This window comes from Homo sapiens, chromosome 8, assembly GCF_000001405.40.
Source record: "Homo sapiens chromosome 8, GRCh38.p14 Primary Assembly".
Taxonomy (NCBI): Eukaryota; Metazoa; Chordata; class Mammalia; order Primates; family Hominidae; genus Homo; species Homo sapiens.
The window spans coordinates 71,912,615-71,930,727 of NC_000008.11; the positions used below are offsets into that span (position 1 = coordinate 71,912,615).

At 36.9% G+C, this 18,113-nt stretch overlaps 1 long non-coding RNA gene across 2 annotated transcripts in view, besides 1 other annotated feature; it reads left to right on the forward strand.

Annotated features, from left to right (window-relative positions):
- Positions 1 to 18,113, forward strand: part of MSC-AS1 (MSC antisense RNA 1) — a 213,190-nt gene that overhangs the window by 69,492 nt on the left and 125,585 nt on the right. The window lies entirely within an intron of this gene.
- Positions 7,213 to 7,352: an enhancer, noted in NCBI's record as "active region_27524". NCBI's record gives its function as "activates an Ori minimal core promoter by ATAC-STARR-seq in GM12878 lymphoblastoid cells {active_cell/tissue: GM12878}" and the evidence as "EXISTENCE:reporter gene assay evidence [ECO:0000049][PMID:35858748]".

An 18,113-nucleotide genomic window follows, 5' to 3' on the forward strand; every position in this document is an offset into this window, starting at 1 on the left:
CCCTTTGTTTCAGATATTTCGGGGTGGGCTGGGGAAAGCCATGGAGCCTGTACATGTTGATAATATCCCATGAAACTACTTGGAGGAATTAATGCGCTGTTGCTTGCATGGATGGATACAGATGTAATAAAGCACTATCCAAAAATGAGGCTACTGACTCACTGTCAAATTTTTTCTGAGTAATTTTTTAAATAATTTCTTATGATTCATGCATTTTAATGCCATGTCCATTCTGGGAGTTTGGGTGTAGTCTATGGTCCTGGTACTACTGAAGTTATCAGATTCTTTAAGGTTGGTGGAAGACATTTGATATACGGAACATAGAGACCAAAGTGTGTGTGTGTGTGTGTGTGTGTGTGTGTGTGTGTATCTTTAAGAGAGAGAGAGAGAGAGAGAGGAGTGTTTTATGGGAAGGCTGGAGCAGAGATTCCAAGAAAAACTATTTTATTTATTACTGTTTCCTCTCAGTTAACATTTCTGGAACATTTAAAATAAGATAATATTATCATTTTAAAAATACCAATTGCATCTCTGTTATTCTTGGTTTACTGTAGGGTCAAAGCCCCAAATTTAATTACCCCAGGGAAAGAATGCTGGTGAAATTTCTGTCCCCATCCTCCCATATCCAGAAAGGAGAAGAAACATGTTGAAATTTGTCTACTCCTATGAGCTTCAAAGTTCTCTTTTCAAGCAGAAGTGTTGGGGATAAAGTTGGATGATTTGAACCTCTAGGAAGGGATAGTATCCATTGAATTTTACATTTTGCTAAGTGTGATGAAAACAAAACAAAATAAAACAGGTGCTTTTCAAATGGAGGTCCTTAAAATCTGCAGAGATTTTTCCATTCAGCTTAATTGTAATATTTCTTTCTTGTGTCAAATTTGGCAAGGGTCTAGAAATTTATTTCTCTCTTATTTGGGGTATTGTGAAGGGAACTGATTCAAAGGCCAAATAAGAATTAAGGTTTGAAAGTTAAAATTTATTGGACATGTCTTCTAAAGCTATATTATTTCATGTCTTTTTCCCCATAAAGCCAAATAAATCTTTAGAACTCTTCACATTTCAAACACAATATTTTTCATATCCATGAAGTGATTTTCTGAAGCTCTTGAGTATCCTTGTCCAATGCATATGGCTTTTATGCCTGCACAGTACTTAGCAGGAATGTTATTAGTTATGCTTCCTGAGAATTCTGAGGGTGAACTCATATTGTTAACTGGTTTGATACTTAAGAAAACTGGCTAAGGCTTATCAGAGGCCACTTCTGTGAACTCTTGGAGTTGTAACATGTGCCAAACGGCTGAATCATTCTGTACTTTGATATATTTTTAAAGGTTCTTTAAACATACCCTAGAATGAAACAGCTACTTAGTTATATTGCATTTTCAAGATGTATCTTCTAATAATATCTCATAGATATCTTTTAGTTTAGCTACTTCCTATACATTCTAATTTAGTGTTGATATTGACTTTTTTTTTTTTTTTTTTTTTTGCATAGAGCTCAGATTGGGAAACATGCCTGGAAAAAAAATCTCTGATAAACTCACATACAATACCCTTGCCAGAAACAATGCTTCAGTTCCAACGAGGTCTAGAAGGGAAATGCTAACATTGGCTTCTTTATCTAGAAAACTGGAAAATATTATATTTAATATATTAAACATTATGTTAAATTAGGGATTTTGATATGTTGATGATACCTGTGTAAGAGACTCACTGAATACAACCAACTTAGTTCCCCAAAGTTGGACAGGAGCAAGGCAGAGCGGGGACTGATGTGTTCTGGAGACTAGGGTGATAGAACAATTTCACTAAAAGCCAGTGGCTCTCGCTTCTGTTACCCTGAATAAAGACTCTACTTTGTTTCAGGACTATTTGGCTCAGAGGGATGGTTTTAGAATCAGGGATGACCAGAAAGAAGGTAAAGAGCTGCATTCTTAGGTGCCCAGTTTAACTCTTTTTCAGGTTTCTGGACTTGTGTTTTCCAGGAGTGGTGACAATGTGGAAATTATTTGTGTTCCCTCTGATTGGGCTCAAAACTTTCCAGACAAAACATTGGTAGAAAATACCAGAACCATATTTTTGAGGGGAAGAAAGTTGGCAGCTAATTTTAAGCACCCTCCTTATACTGATCTTCTATTCTATGGATTTATAAACTAATACACAATTTCAAGATACATTTATTTCTATTTAATAGGTACCTAGCAGCTCATTAATGCTATATTTGTAAGGAAAATGACAAACATTTTTCTAATTATGTACTTAATTTACAAAATGCAGAGTAATGTAGCAATCAAGTTGTTGATGTTATTATGCAAGTATGAGATAGGGGATTTTTAAAATGATATCCGATATTATGTTACGTGGACATTTGTTAGGGGGATTTGGGGAGGAGGCAGTTTTGATAGAAAAAATGTGAGAGTACATAGCTTTCCATATCTGGATTTCTCTTCACACTAGGGGTGAATGGCTGATTTTGAGGAACTGGAATTTAGCTATCTATTTTTTGTTGTTGTTTGCTTTGTTTTGAAAGGCACTTATCCTTTATTTCTGAGCATAAGGATAGGCATTTACCTCAATACAGATTGTTTCTTAAATCTTAGTTAATGCAGGGCCTGATAGGAAAGGTATGTTTTTATTGTTAGGTGACTCAATAACTAGATTTTCCAGTGTTTCTTTTGAAGTTGAAGTATTTACTGGAACCCAGGGCAAAGTAGTACAGAGATGAAAGATAGCCAGTAAATGGTGAATTATTAAGGCTATGTGAATAAGCAGTCTTCCAATACGGATGACTGGAGCTTAATTTCATGGGGAAACTTTGAGAAATGGTAGATACTTCTCAGAATAATTCTTCTGAAGAGGCAAGGAAGCTTGCATATTTATACACCAGCTTCCATCATTATTGGTTAAAGGTTGCTCCCAGGGAGTGTTACTTCCCTGGCACTTGTACTTCAGTAGTTCTGGCAAGAGTCCTCCGGCACAGAGAGGCAGCCCCTGGCCATTCAAAGTCATCTGGAGAAAGCAGATAGTGGGATTCAAGGGATATAGGTGGGGCAGTGGCTGTATATGTTACATCGGCAGGTGCTGTAACTGATGCGGTCCAAGAATCCACACACAGAAGGCATCCTTATGCACGGAAAAGTTTGAGAACCATTAATATGGGCTATTGATCAATAAATCATAAATTGTCAGAGAATTGTTTAATGGAATTCTCATTTTGTAGGTAAGGAAATTAAAGTCCAGAGAATTTTAATGATTGGCTTGATGTCACAGAACCACTTTTAGCTCAATAGTCTCATGATTTAATGAATTATTGATGCCCAATTTCATTATTATTAATTTGAGGGCTAGATATTTCAAAAAAATCAATACAAAGGCACATGGCTCCAGTGCCCTTCCCCTTCCTTTTCAGCACCATTTCTATTGACCCCTTAAAGCTACTCACCCACCTGTGAGGCATTCCTTTATACGTGCCAATATGTGAAAATCGTTTTCTTTTAGAAACTTTCTCTGCTCCCTACCTTTCAAACCTTGCTTAGGAAAAGATCTTTGAAGTTTATTGATACTGAGGTATAAATGACTAAATTTGCTTTTTATTGAAGTGTTTTCTCAATAATAAAAAGTAAAATCTTAAGCTTCAATAATGAAGCTTTAACAGTTTCAGTTGAGAGGAAGTTAATTTAGGGTTGAAAGGGCCTGAGACTAATTTTAATTATTCATAAATATGGATTGTCACATCCTTTTGGAAAATACTGTTGATCTTGTAGCCATTAAAGTGCATTCTATAAGATGAAATTGATTTAGCATGGGGAACACTGGTGATCCTTAGAAGAGAAACTCAGTATTTAATAAATGTGAAAATAATGAGAAACTACAATATAGTAATTATTAGAGTTTTATAATTTAGAAATACATAAGTGTAGTTTTCATCATATTGGATCACATAAAAAGATCTTAACTTCCTGCAGAAAAAGTCTATTTTTTGTTACAAACTAGTATAAATAGCACAGTTCAAAGAGAATCAGAAAATACTATTCAAATAATTTTAAAACTTCAATATTTGACTTTTAACTACTGTAATGTTCCCCAAATCATGTTTTGTTTTTGACTATAATTAAATTGCATTTTGTTATATTCAGTATTGATAGCTGTCATTTTTTGAACCCCTACTGTGTGTCAGATAAAAATGTTAGGGGATTTACATACTATATTTCTTTAGCTTTGCAATAACTTCGCATGATGGATATTTTTATCCTTATTTTATGGAAATAAATGAATGTACATAATAAATTTTTATGACAAATTTGATGCCTAGCACTTCATAGACATTTAGAAACTATTTTTAAAATAAGCATGAGTGAATGAGGACTTGTTCCAAGCCACGAAGCTTTAGAGTGATAAATGGAGCCAGCCGGGTGCACTTTAGCCTTCAGAACTGTTCCAGCTGCCCATACACAGGGTTTGAGTGAATGGTTCTGACACCTACCGAACTGGCGTTAGCTTGGCCTGGAGGATGGTCAGCACAGTTGAAGCTGGGTGCACTGGGACCTGTTCACAGGTGATTGCTGATAAGAAAACTCTCTTATCCTTTAATCCTTGACCTCATAGAGCCCACCTGATGCCCTGGAGTAACTCCCTCCTGAGAAATGGGTTTGTTGTCTCAGGCCCACTCAGTTCAATTTATCAGTTTATAACTCTGTCAAGGATCTCTAGCTCTTTCTTATTGCCCAGGGTCACATATCATTCATTTGTTCACTCATCAAACATTTATTAAGAACTACTGTGTGCTGGAAGCTTGGCCGAATGCTAGGAATTCAAAAACAAACAATTGAGTGAGATGGATTCTGAGTTAGGGGAATCCACAAGTAACCCAATAGATGACCAGATGGACATCTTGAGTTCCTCCCAGGATTCTAAAAAGAAAAAATGCTTTTGCAAAGAATGTTTTTACGGACCAGAGAACTAATCTAAAACACCAATGATGATTAAATAGAACATTCTATTCAGACATTAGATTTTAAACTTTTATAAAATTTAATATAAAATGACTGTGGGGTAAATAAGCAGGGAGCAAGGCACTTCCTGGGAATCCCTAGGCCAGCCAAGTATTCCTGAGCTATCCTCATCACTAATCTAAGAAGGATCCTGGAGCAGGCATACCCTGATACCATCCCAGAACAAAGCCTGAAAGGCAGGCAGTTGGTTTGACAGCTTTAGAAGACACCATGTTCAGCTGCCATAGCTCTCAGAGTGTGAGTGTAAGTGTAGCATGGCTTTGTTATGCAGTCTTATGGTTAATAGTAGGTAGCCATTTTTTTTGAAAGGTCTGTGCATGCTCTCTGACATGGTCTCAAAGTAAAAACAATGCACAATGAAAACGAAGTTCTTCTGATCTGAATTCTGCCCTAAATCAAAGATTTCTTTTGTCACAAGAGATTCTATTTGGGATAAGCTAATGTAACTAGATTTGTTCATAGACTTTTGAGGAAGGCATTTGTGTGTGTGTGCGCTAAGTTTCAGTCATAAAAGTTAGTCATGGTGTCATGAAATAGTTGAACTGTCTTTTAGAATTTTTTTCAGGATTCCAGATAGAATGTTTTTGCAAAGAACATTTTTTCCCTTCAAGGCTCATGTTAAAATAAAGGTCAGGAAATTCAGTCAAGTAAACAAGTTAGCCACAACTTTCATCCAAAAGGACACGCATCACAGGTGTCGCTCAGTGCCACTGGAGTTGGTTTAAACACATTGGTTATGGTTATACATAGCACTTGAAGTTCAAACATTCACTCCAACTCCATCATCACTTACTTAGGTTGTCCCTGCAAATTCCTTTTGGACTCTTTCTTTGCCAAGTTCAAAAAGTAATGGGTTCTTAACTATAACAGAGAAAAATCAACTTCTCCATTTTAGAAAAAGGTAAAAAGTTTTCCCTTCCTTCCTTCCTTTTTTTACCCCAAAAAGAAGCTTCTAAAATGCAAATAAATTTGTAAATAAATACATTTCAGTTACTGTAACAATGAAAGCAATACACTAGTTTATCTAAGTGAAATTTTTATACATTTTGCTTTTACTAATAAGTTGTAGTATAAGAAAATAATGTCTTATTTTTATTTTATTTTATCATTTTTATAAATCCACAGAAAATAAAAAAGATAATTGGGAAATTAATATATCTATTATGATTTTTAAGTAAACCTTCCACTGAAATATGATATACCATGTTAAAAAAGCATGTTCCTTATAAGTGTACAGCTTGATGATTTTTTTCACAAACTGAATATACTTGTGTAATCAGCACTCAAATCAGGAACTAGATTATCACCAGAGCATTATCGCAGAAACCCATCTCTTTTTCTCTAATACTCAATGGCATTTTGTACCCCTAAGGGTAGCCACTATCCTAACTAATAACACCATTAAACTTTTGCCTGTTTGACTTTTGTACCTTATATAAATGGAGTTATGCATTATTTATTCTTTTGTGTCTGGATAATGAATTGTGCAGGTGGGAATATGGTTATGCGTGTCTTTTGGTGAACACATGCATGCATTTCTTTGAGGTATAAACTGAACAGAGGAACTGGTGGGTTATAAGGATGTGTGTGTTCAGTTATCATAGGTAATGTCAAATTGTTTACAAAGCGGCTCTACATGCTTTCTTTCTATGCTCACTTATACTAAACTATACTGCTTTTCTCAATCTCATTTGTCATTAGGGAGATTTCTTTAAACTGAAAAGGTTATCTGAAAAGCACTCTGTTGCATATATTTAAAGATCATTTTTGCTAATATGGTTATTTTCAGTGGAATGTTTTTGTGTCCTAAATCTTAACTTGTAAAAACCTATGCTCCTAATAGTACAAACAATTCCATCTAAAAGTCAGACCGTAAGTTCAGCAATAAAAGATGAATCACCATGAGACAAAGCTGTACACACTTGGAAACATAGTGTATATACTAATCTTTCATAACCAAACTATTCCTGTTACAAAATGATACTAGATTGCTTTCCAGGAAAGTCAAGTGAAAACATTACTAAGTCTTTTCTTCAAGATATATCAGAGTTTTTATTTGCAAGCAACTTGAAGGCAACTCTGGTTAATTTATCAGAAAAGAAATGTGATAAATAATTTTGGAAACCCACTGAATCTCTTGGGGGGCCAGAGAACCAGGCTTGGAGATATCTCAGTCTTGCAAGATGCCTTAAAATATGTTTTGAACTGGTCCTCTATAGACCAATTGCTACTTCCACGGGTTACAGATCCCATAGCCTGCCCTATTTGTCAGTCTCCAAGATGGCCCTAGTGAGTCTCAGATCCTGACATTTGTGATCTTGTGCCGTCTTCTGTCACACATAGTCAGGGCAGCTCTGTGTGACCAATACAGGTGGCAGCACGTGACTTAAAGGCTAGATTATAAAGGACATTGAAGCTTCCCCTTGGTCTCCCACACTCTGGGGGAAGCCAGCTGCTAGGCCCTGAGGTCATGCAAGGAGCCTCAAGGAGAGGAACTGCAGCCACCTGCTGACTGCCAGCACCAACTTTTCATGCTGGTGAGCCACCTTGGAAGCCAGCCCTCTGTCTTCACTCATAGCTTCAGATGATTGCAGCCCCAGCTGATGTCTTGACTGCAAGCTCTTGAGAGACTGAGCCACAGCTACTCAGCCATGTTGCTCTAAGTTCTTTTTTCTTTTGTGTGTTTTTTTTTTAAGAGACAGTGTCTTCAGCCATGTTGCTCTAAGGTATTTTTTTTTTTAAGAGAGACAGTGTCTTGCTCTGTTGCCCAGGCTAGTGTGCAGTGGTGTCATCATAGCTCACTGCAGCCTTGAACTCCCAGGCCCAAGCGATCCTCCTGCCTCAGCCTCCCAAGTAGCTGAGACTACAAGCACATGCCACCATGCCCGGCTAATTGTTTTATTTTTTGTAGAGATGGGGTCTTGTTTTGTTGCCAAGGCTGGTCTCAAAGTCCTAGGCTCAAGCAAGCCTCCTACCTTGGCCTCCCAAAGTGCTGGGATTACAGGTGTGAACTACTATGCTTAGCCAAGCTTCTTGACCCACAGAAACTGAGAGAGAAATAAATGTTTATTTTTGTTTTAAGTCATTAAACTTTGGGGTAATTTGTTTCACAGCAACAGATAGCTGATACAATCACCACCCAGACATGGGATACAGCTACTGGAACTGTTGGCACCACTGCCTTTGGGAACTGGATGTATCTGCAAGCAACATTACCCAAATGCATTCTGGATAATCCCCATTTCTTCGATTATACTTCTGATTCAAAGTCTGGGTCCTTTGCAATTGACTGACATTGCGTGGGTTCACATGCCAATATTTTAGGTAAAAGGAAGACTTGGAAATTCAAGTAGTTGATCTTTTCAGAAATGCAAGTAGCTGATCTTTTCAGCTTCTAGAGTATGAGATCAGCTCTATGCCTCATAAGGTTGGAAACTCCTCAAACTTAGAAAGAGAGGTTAGATACTAGGCAGTCCATTGTCCACCATACCAGGGCTTCTCATAGTGTGGGCCATCTGTGAGTGAGTGCTGTCTGTGAGATTTTGCTCTTGGTCCACAATGAGATAAACATAGAAAATGAGAATAGGCAGCCAGAAACTTTCATAGCAACTTGACATTGCCATGATATTTTTATTGTATTTGACAAAAATACTGATACACAACAAATTGGAAATTAAACCAGAAAATACCACAGATAGTTTGAGAAGCACTGATAGTTTTCTACCACAAATAGTTTGAGAAGCACTGCACTACATCCATATATAACAAAGGACTTATTTGAAAACACTATGCCTCTCAACTCTGCCTCCAGAGCCTCAGGACAAAGCTGGTTTCTCATGTGATTGATATCACAGAGCAGCGATTTTCTCTGCACTCCTTTAGTTACCCAAAGATGCTGACATGCTTTATATATAAACTCATTGCATTAAAAATCAAACTATTTTGGCCCATGGGCAAGACGCAAACAAGAATAATAATCTTGTAATTGTCACAACAAACCTATAATATGAGGTAAATATTGTGGTGTCCCTTTTACCAGCGAGATAGCTGAAGCACCAAGAAATTAAATGATATACTCAATCACATGGCTCCCAAGTGAAAGCACCAGGCTTTGAACCCAGACAGCTTGGCTCTTGCTAGCACTTGCACTTTTGGCCACTCTGCAGTACTGCCTCTCTAACATAACAAGAAAAAGACTGGCATATATCCAAGATATTATATCCAAGTATTGCCTAAATATGAACTTTATTTCCTCTTTGAATCATGGCCTTTGCAAAGACCTCTAAGAATATTTAGGCAAATTATATTCTTCTTAATAGTCAATGTACTATATATTTCAAAAGATCCGATGCCTGCTGTCTACAGCGTTATAATGCCCTGAGACATAATAAGTGATTGCTTTCCAGAATGAAGCTTTTAAGATAAATAACTTTGTGTTTTTAGGTCATTTAGGAATATTGCCCCTTTTTTAAAAAAATGGAGTATCTCAGCACTAACACACACACTTTTTAGAATTTTAATCTCTGAAATATTTTCCAGAGATTTCAGCATTACACAACAGTCTTATTAAAGGTGCATGTATGCATTTTTATTTAATCTGATCCCTCAACAAGCCTGGTCCATTTAGCAGACCAGAAAGCTAATCTCCAGAGGCCAAAGGACCAACTCCCAATCGTGAAGCAGCTGTTCATGACCTTAGAGGATGTCAGAGCAAGTCTGAACTCTTGGTTGGAGGTTTTTCCACACCCTGTATCAATTCACTTCCGCCACTAACTGACAGAGACCTAACTGAAGATTTCAAGACTGTAAATTCCCAGCACACTTCGAAGAAGCTGGGGATGGCTGAAAGTCATTTCACAGTAGGATTGATTTGCAGCCAGGATCAACCAGCCTTTGGCCTCATTTTTGTGTAGTTTGGACGATTCTATCATCAGATCTGCCTCTCGATATAAAATGTTTCCTGTTTGAGTTTCCTTTTTCAAATGAATGGATTTATTATCCTAGAGGAAGACTTCCTAGCTGTTCTGAGAAGGGCAGGATGAATGAAAGGTTATAGATCAAATGTGTTTATTTGTCCCTCATTAGCTGAGAATTGGTTTATGTGTATCATTTTATGGAAAGCCAAGGAATAATGACACACATATTGAATTTATTGAATCAAGTGTAACAGCACTGGGAAGGTCTAAGAAAACAGATATACACATATACAGAAAAAGAGAGCGTTTACATGGCCATTTCTCATCTCACTAGGGAAGTCAAGATGTGTGCACGAAAACTACCATGCCAGTAAGTGAACAGTGCCAGTAAGACAGAGAACAGTGTTAGATGAAGAAGACAGAAGCTTTCATAGACAAGGAAAAACTAGAATCTTAGGCAGGTTTTAGAGAACAACAACGTTGCTTAATACTTACTAAACATACACTTATTAAACATGACCTCATATAGCTTTACAATAGCTATTTAAATTAGGAACTACTGTACTTTATTTTCTGTTTCACAGTTCCAGAAAGTGGATTGCTTACATCAAATAGCTAGTAAAAGATAACTCGAATTCAAGCCAGACTCTAAAGGACATGCTCTTAACTGAGCACTTCTCTGTGCTGCCTTGGGCTGGGCATAGTAGAGACGTCCAATCTCCAGGGCAGGGATAGAATACGGAAAAATCTAAGCAAAGGTCTGGAGGTGAGAAGGGAAGCATGTTCTGGGGTCAGTGCAATCAGCCTGCCTAAAGTAGATGGTTTTGGGGAAAAGGTGGGGTTGATAAAATTGGAGAATCAATAAGGCTGAAAAATATTACAAGAATTAAAGATTCCTACATTAATGGATTCTGAGCAGGAAAATAATATTACGTAAAAACTGCTTTTGTAAGAAGGGTGAACTCAGCAGTCATGTGTAGAATGATAGAAGAGCAGAGGCCTGGAGGCTGGAAAATCATTGAGAAGATGTTGCAGAAGTCCAGGAACAGGCAGTGAAGGCCTGGACTAGTACACCAGTTCTCAAATTTTTGGTCATGGGTGTACTGATACTCTTAAAAATAATTGAGGAGTCCAGAAGTGTTTTGTTTGTTTGGTTTTTATCTGTCGATGTTTATGGTATTTGAAATTAAAACAGAATTATTTTAAGAAAATTATTAAATCATTTTAAAATAACAATAAACCCATTATACATTAACATAAAAGTAACTATGCTTTTTCATGAAAAATAACTATGCTTTTAAAAATATATAGTGAGAAAAATTATACTGTTTTATACTTTTGCAGATTTCTTTAATGTTTGGCTTACTGGAATCCAGGTGGATTGTCATACATCCAGTGGGCTGTGATGTTGCACAATGTGTGGACTAAAAAATTCCACTGCATGCTAATGAGAGAAACAGTGAACATGGCAAATCACACCTTAGTATTCCCATCATAGTAGTTTCGAACTCATGATACTCTGAAAGATTCTTGGGAGTTCCCATGTTTCCAGGCCACAACTTGAGAACCTCTTGGCTAGAGTGTAGCTGAGAAGACGCAGAAACACAGAGAAACAAAACAACAGCATCTGGAGACCGACTAGGCTTAGTGGGAGCTGCAAAGGAAATGATCTGATTCAGTATGATGCAATACATCAAACCTGGGTGACCTGGGAAATTTGCAATGCCTCTTGCAGAATGGGGAAACCCATGGGGGAAGGCAATCTGATGGGGAAGTTGGCAATTTCTGGTTTGGGTGATTTAAATGTGAAAGAACATAGATATCCAAGTAAATACAGAATTAGGTCACAGAAACTGAGAGACTCATTGTCAATAAAACTGAATGTTTTTAAGTTAATTTAAAAATGAAATAGACACATGTACTGTAATTTCTATCCAGTTCATCACAAAATTTTTATTCATTTTTGTTTCTTTTAATGAGTGGAACATTATAGGAGCTCAACTGTATTTGAAAAATTTACTTTTCTAAGATGAGGAGTGAATACATGGGCATTTTCCATGTTATTCTTTATTCATTCGATATGTCTGGGACAATTTATAATATATTAAAAATTTTAAGTTCACATCACATGCTAACCCACACATATTTCTCTCTCTCTCTCTCTCTCTCACACACACACACACACATACACACACAGACACACACTATATATATTTTCCTTAGATCAGATGCCATCTTATTTCCAGATGCTAGTGCTAGAGATTCCCATTTGGGAAAAAACAAAAGAAGAAAAATAAAGAAAGAAACCTAAACTAAACCACATATTTTAATCTTCTCTTTAGATATTGAAATGCAGACTATAGAGAAAGAACTTACTGCAGCATCAGCAAAATATAGGAAAAGTGTAAGTCAAACAGGAAGACATACCAATATTCACATGATACCAAAGAAGTGCATTTTATTACCTGTATTTACCAATGATTCAGTCAGACCGAAGCTCCCAGGAGAGTTTATAGCACTTAGTGGGAGAGACAAAAATGGAGAAACAAAGAATTATGAACAGTGTGATGTTTCCAGTAGAATCAGAGGCATAGGGAGAACAAAGTACTCAAAGGATACATCCTAGAGAAAGTGACTATGTGTCCCTGGGAGGTTGTCTAAGCAAGCTCGGCTCTGGAATTGGAGTAGATTGGATTGGAGTAGATTGGAGTGCTAGCACTGAGTTGGGCACTATTAGCTTTGAGACTTAGAGGAAATTATTAAATTGCATAAGCTTTAGTATGAAAATATTTTTATTGATAAAAACATGTTAATAGTAGCTGCTTCCCAGGATTGCAGTGAGGGTTAATGCAGAATAGGACCCAGTGAATGTCAGCTCCTCTTACTGTGTAGCGCTGACCAATAGACCCCCATCTGCCCTCCACACTCAGCACTACCCCCCACCACATCCACGTTTCTCTCTTGGATGACTTTCAAATACTGTTGCCATCTTAAGCTCTCCATACTCTAACTGCTTTGGTTATAATCTCAGCCACCAGACAAGTAGATGTCCTTCTTCTTAGGCCTTTGAAAGCCACAACCCTGGTCTCCACCAGCCTTCGCTCATACTAAAGCCTTTCTGGAGCATACTCCATGCTTCCTTTCTATTCATTTCAGAGGCCTTTAATTTTCTGATTCTTGTTTAGCTCTACAACTATTACATATCCACCATATTACCTATCTTTATTTACCATAGACGTCATTCCAAATTGTATCCTGTAGTCGTTTTAACCAAGTAAAAAATGAAGTTGGAAAGAGTATATATGTTCTTTTATTTTTTTTTACACAGGAAAATAAATATGATAATAAAACTTCTAAAATTCTTTTAAGAAGAATGTTTTGGATGTGTGTATGAGGGCAGGATGAAAGGGGATAATCATTAGATAACATAAGTCAAATTCACAGGTAGAAGGAGGCTGTCATTGACTTTCAGCATCTATTATTGTGGCTATTCAGTGAATACACTCCGACCTGGGGGCTCTGAACTAGAGGAAAGCCAGGTGCTCCTGAAGCCAGGTGCCTGCTTTGGATGAATGAATGGATAAATGAATGAGATAAGCACAAATCTACAGTACACCCAAAGATTACATAATCAAAAATAATGCCTGTACAAAGAATGGTGTAAATTGCACTATGAAGATAATTTAGGTAAAAACTTAGCTAAATTTTCTTAACAGGAATTCCATTTTTAGTGCTTTTTTTAAACTCAAGGATAGAATTCATATTAAATAGGAATAAAAGTTAATGCCAAGTATAACTTCTTTTTGCTAATAATTGTTTCGTAAATATATGTGTTCTGTAAACTAACATAACCCTCATTTTTTTTTGCAGTTGTTTCATGACCTTTGCAAACAAATGAAAGACTTACATTTGCTAAGTTCCCTTTAGTACTTAATTACTAGAAATTTAAGGACCTAACAGGGACTGCAGCTGTTCTGAGTTTCAATTATTTTTCTGCTTATCTTCCTGGCTAATAACTTGGAGCTCTGGGCTGAATGCATTCCATTTTTTGGTAATGGGAAACATCAAGACAAATCTTGTTTCCCACATAACTGAGTGGAACAAGGAGAATTGGGTCACCCAAGAGTTTCATCAGCACTCTTGGAAGAGCTCAAGAGATAAGCAGAAGCATTTACACTACTGGGAACAATTGGTTTTGTCAAGAGACTCAGCAATAAAAGCAGGAAACTAGGCTGGAACAGAAGGGGTGGTGGGAAAGACTATCTGAATGGTAAAGGGTTTCTGTGTAAAATAATGATGCCTTCTCTTTTAGGGGAAGCTGAGCATTTTTGTTTTGGCACCTAGATGTTGAATCATATGTCTCACATAGAATCATAGATTTTGCAGAGTTCGATTAGACATAAGGCATCACCTAGACTTCTTTAAAGCTGGGGACACCAGGGCCCAGAGAGGTTAAAGGACTTATCTGAAGGCACACAGCTAGTACGTGGCAGGCACAGCTAGTACGTGGCAGGGCTGGGAACAGAACCCATTTCCTATTCCCAGTCAGGGCACTTCCCTCTCCCCTACATCTGCTTCCTCTACTCCTTTAAGCATCTTGTCTCTTCAAGCCACAGCTCAAGTACTCTGGTGATATTCTCAGCACAATCTCCAGATTGCTATTCTTGAAACCTATTTCTTTGGCCTCCTTCTCTCCTAATTTTTTTTAAAAATCATGCTTTTGTAAAATTATTAAGTTTTCTGGTAAAGTCGAGCACTGATGGTTGAGAATTTATTGCATTTGGACAATTTCTAGATGGCAACTTATGTATAGTTGTACGTTACTGAATTAAGGTGTGTTTAGATAATAATGCAGCTGGAAGGAGCTATTTGGATCGAATGAGCCAAATCCCTGGTTTGCAGATTATGGAACAAAACCCTAGAAGACAAAGGGATCATCAGTTTAAAATACAAAACCCTAATGTCATAGAAAATTCTATCAAAGCAAAGTTTAAGTGTTTGAACATTGACTTCATCAAAGATTAAATAAAAATGGTCCTGAGTTGTTATTACTCTCTAAAAAAGTGTTGTTTATTAAAATGTTTGGCATATATTGTTGTTGTTCATTGTTTTACTCATTTGGAGAGGTTCTAATAAGAATAGCAGGAAACTAACTGAATTATTTAAAAGCTAGGCTCAATGTATTCAAGGAAACCAAAAGTTTAACGTACTTTGAGCAGCACTTGATGAAAATGATCATCAACATGATGAGTTGTATTTTAGGCATGCACAGTATTTGCTAAATGAATGAATAATAAATATAAAAAGTACTTGGCTGGAGACAAAGTATTGTACCTTAGAATACTGACATTGAACAACACAAATTTGGTAAATCCTTACTTTTTTTAAAATTATACTTTAAGTTCTGGGATACATGTGCAAAACGTGCAGGTTTGTTACATAGGTATACACGTGCCATGGTGGTTTGCTTCATCCAACAACCCGTCACCTACCTTAGGTATTTCTCCTAATGCTATCCATCCCCAACCTCCCCACCCCGCAACAGGCCCTGGTGTGTGACGTTCCCCTCCCTGTGTCCATGTGTTCTCATTGTTCAACTCCCACTTATGAGTGAGAACATGTGGTGTTTGGTTTTCTGTTCCTGTGTTAGTTTGCTGAGAATGATGGTTTCCAGCTTCATCCATGTCCCTGCAAAGGACATGAACTCATCCTTTTATATGGCTGCATAGTATTCCATGGTGTATATGTGCCACATTTTCTTTATCCAGTCTATCATTAATGGCATTTGGGTTGGTTCCAAGTCTTTGCCATTGTGAATAGTGCTGCAATAAACATACATGTGCATATGTCTTTACAGTAGAATGATTTTTAACCCTTTGGGTATATACCCAGTAATTGGATTGCTGGGTCAAATGATATTTCTAGTTCTAGATCCTTGAGGAATTGCCATACTGTCTTCTACAATGGTGGAACTAATTTACACTCCCACCAACAGTGTAAAAGCGTTCCTCTTTCTCCACATCCTCTCCAGCATCTGTTGTTTCCTGACTTTTTAATGATCACCATTCTAACTGGTGTGAGATGGTATCTCACTATGGTTTTCATTTGTATTTCTCTAATGACCAATGATGATGAGCTTTTTTCATATGTTTGTTGGCTGCATAAATGTTTTCTTTTGAGAAGTGTCTGTTCATATCCTTCCCCCACTTTTTGATGGGGTTGTTTTTTTCCTGTAAATTTAAGTTCCTTGCATATTCTGGATATTAGCCCTTGTCAGATGGATAGATTGCAAAAATTTTCTCCCATTTTGTAGGTTGCATATTCACTCTGATGATAGTTTCTTTTGCTGAGTAGAAGCTTGTTAGTTTAATTAGATCCCATTTGTCAATTTTGGCTTTTGTTGCCATTGCTTTTGGTGTTTTAGCCATGATGTCTTTGCCCATGTCTATGTCCTGAATGCTATTGCCTAGGTTTCATGGTAGCGTTTTTATGGTTTTAGGTCTTATGTTTACGTCTTTATTCCATCTTGAGTTAATTTTTGTATAAGGTGTTAAGGAAGGGGTCCATTTTCAGTTTTCTGCATATGGCTAGCCAGTTTTCCCAACACCATTTATTAAATAGGGAATCCTTTCCCCATTGCTTGTTTTTGTCAGGTTTGTCAAAGATCATATGGTTGTAGAAGTGTGGCATTATTTCTGAGGACTCTGTTCTGTTCCATTGCTCTATATATCTGTTTTGGTACCAGTACCATGCTGTTTTGGTTACTGTAGCCTTGTAGTGTAGTTTGAAGTCAGGTAGCGTGATGACTCTCTCAACTAAAGTTGAGAGTCAGTTGAAAACTCATGGAGAAACTGAGTGTCTAGAACAAATATCTTAAAGAACATTGTCATTACCTCTCTGGGACAACTTTATTCACAGAAGAATTTGAGAAATAATAGTTCATTACATACTAAGTGACATCACAAATGATAAAAATGGGGTGTTCATAGTATTTAGTTCCCTGCAATTTAAAACCCATATGTTGGCCTTTTAATAACTATTTTAGCCATATTAGGTGCATGGGTAGACTCCAGGAACCATCTGCTATGTGCCTGCCAATTAAGTTTGCTGCGTTCTCCTGAACAGAGTGACTCTTCCATTAAAACAAGTGGCTTTTCCAGGAAAAAAGATCTTGGGATTTTCTTTGGTTATTAGATAGCTCTACACCAGATAGGAACATAAAATTTCTTTGTGTGGGGAAAGAGGAGAGCTTTCCTGAAGTTTGACTCATATTACAAAAATGAGGGGGAAAGGGATTTAAGTGCTTATTTCAGTTCCTTTTCCAAACATGGAAAGTAAAATAGTAGTTCAGCCTCAATCCTTTCAGAGGAAGATCTCATTGCAAATGTAAACTTCACTACTCAACTCACAGTGTTTCATATATTGCAAATAACCTAGACTTCAAAATTCAAAATGCCACATGCAAATCCTAGTTTAAGTCTGGAAGTGTTTGTGAGATCAAAAGCAAAAAAATTTTCTCTGTGGTCTTAGATTCCCATTTAACCTTATTTCTTTTTAAATGTCTACATTAGGAAGTCCCATGTTTTATCCTTGTAATTCTAAAACAGATGAGTAAATGAGTATTGCATTATTATAGTTGGCCACAGAGCAAACTAGTGGCAGTAACGGAGCTTAATCGTGACCTTTAAATTTCAAACATGCTCAGATTCTTGAAGTCAGATGGCCTCATACTTTGCTTTGCTGCTGTGTGATGGAAAGGGATCAAGTATACTTGACTTTTGTAAGTGACTTTCTTTAAAGCTAAAAGTTGCATAGAACACATTTGTTGAAACAATTAGAAAACTTTATCTGTAATTCTCTTTGCAAATTACATGATTCTGCAAGCCTCATTGTTCCCAGTTTCTGAAATGGGAATAATCATTCATCCTGCATATCTCTTCTATTTATTATAAAAGTGAAGATAACTTAAAATATTATAAATTAATGTGTAAGTGTAAGAAAATATTAACTGTGGAGTGCTACACTTTCTGACCTTGTGAACGTTTGATTTTCTTTACCGGAAACACTGAAATATACTGAATATCAGGTACCTCTCCAGAGCATGCATGTGGTTCTACAGTTGCTTGCCTAAAAATGGTAAAGGTCAACTATCCAGAGGGGAGAAATGGAGAGGACAGAAATG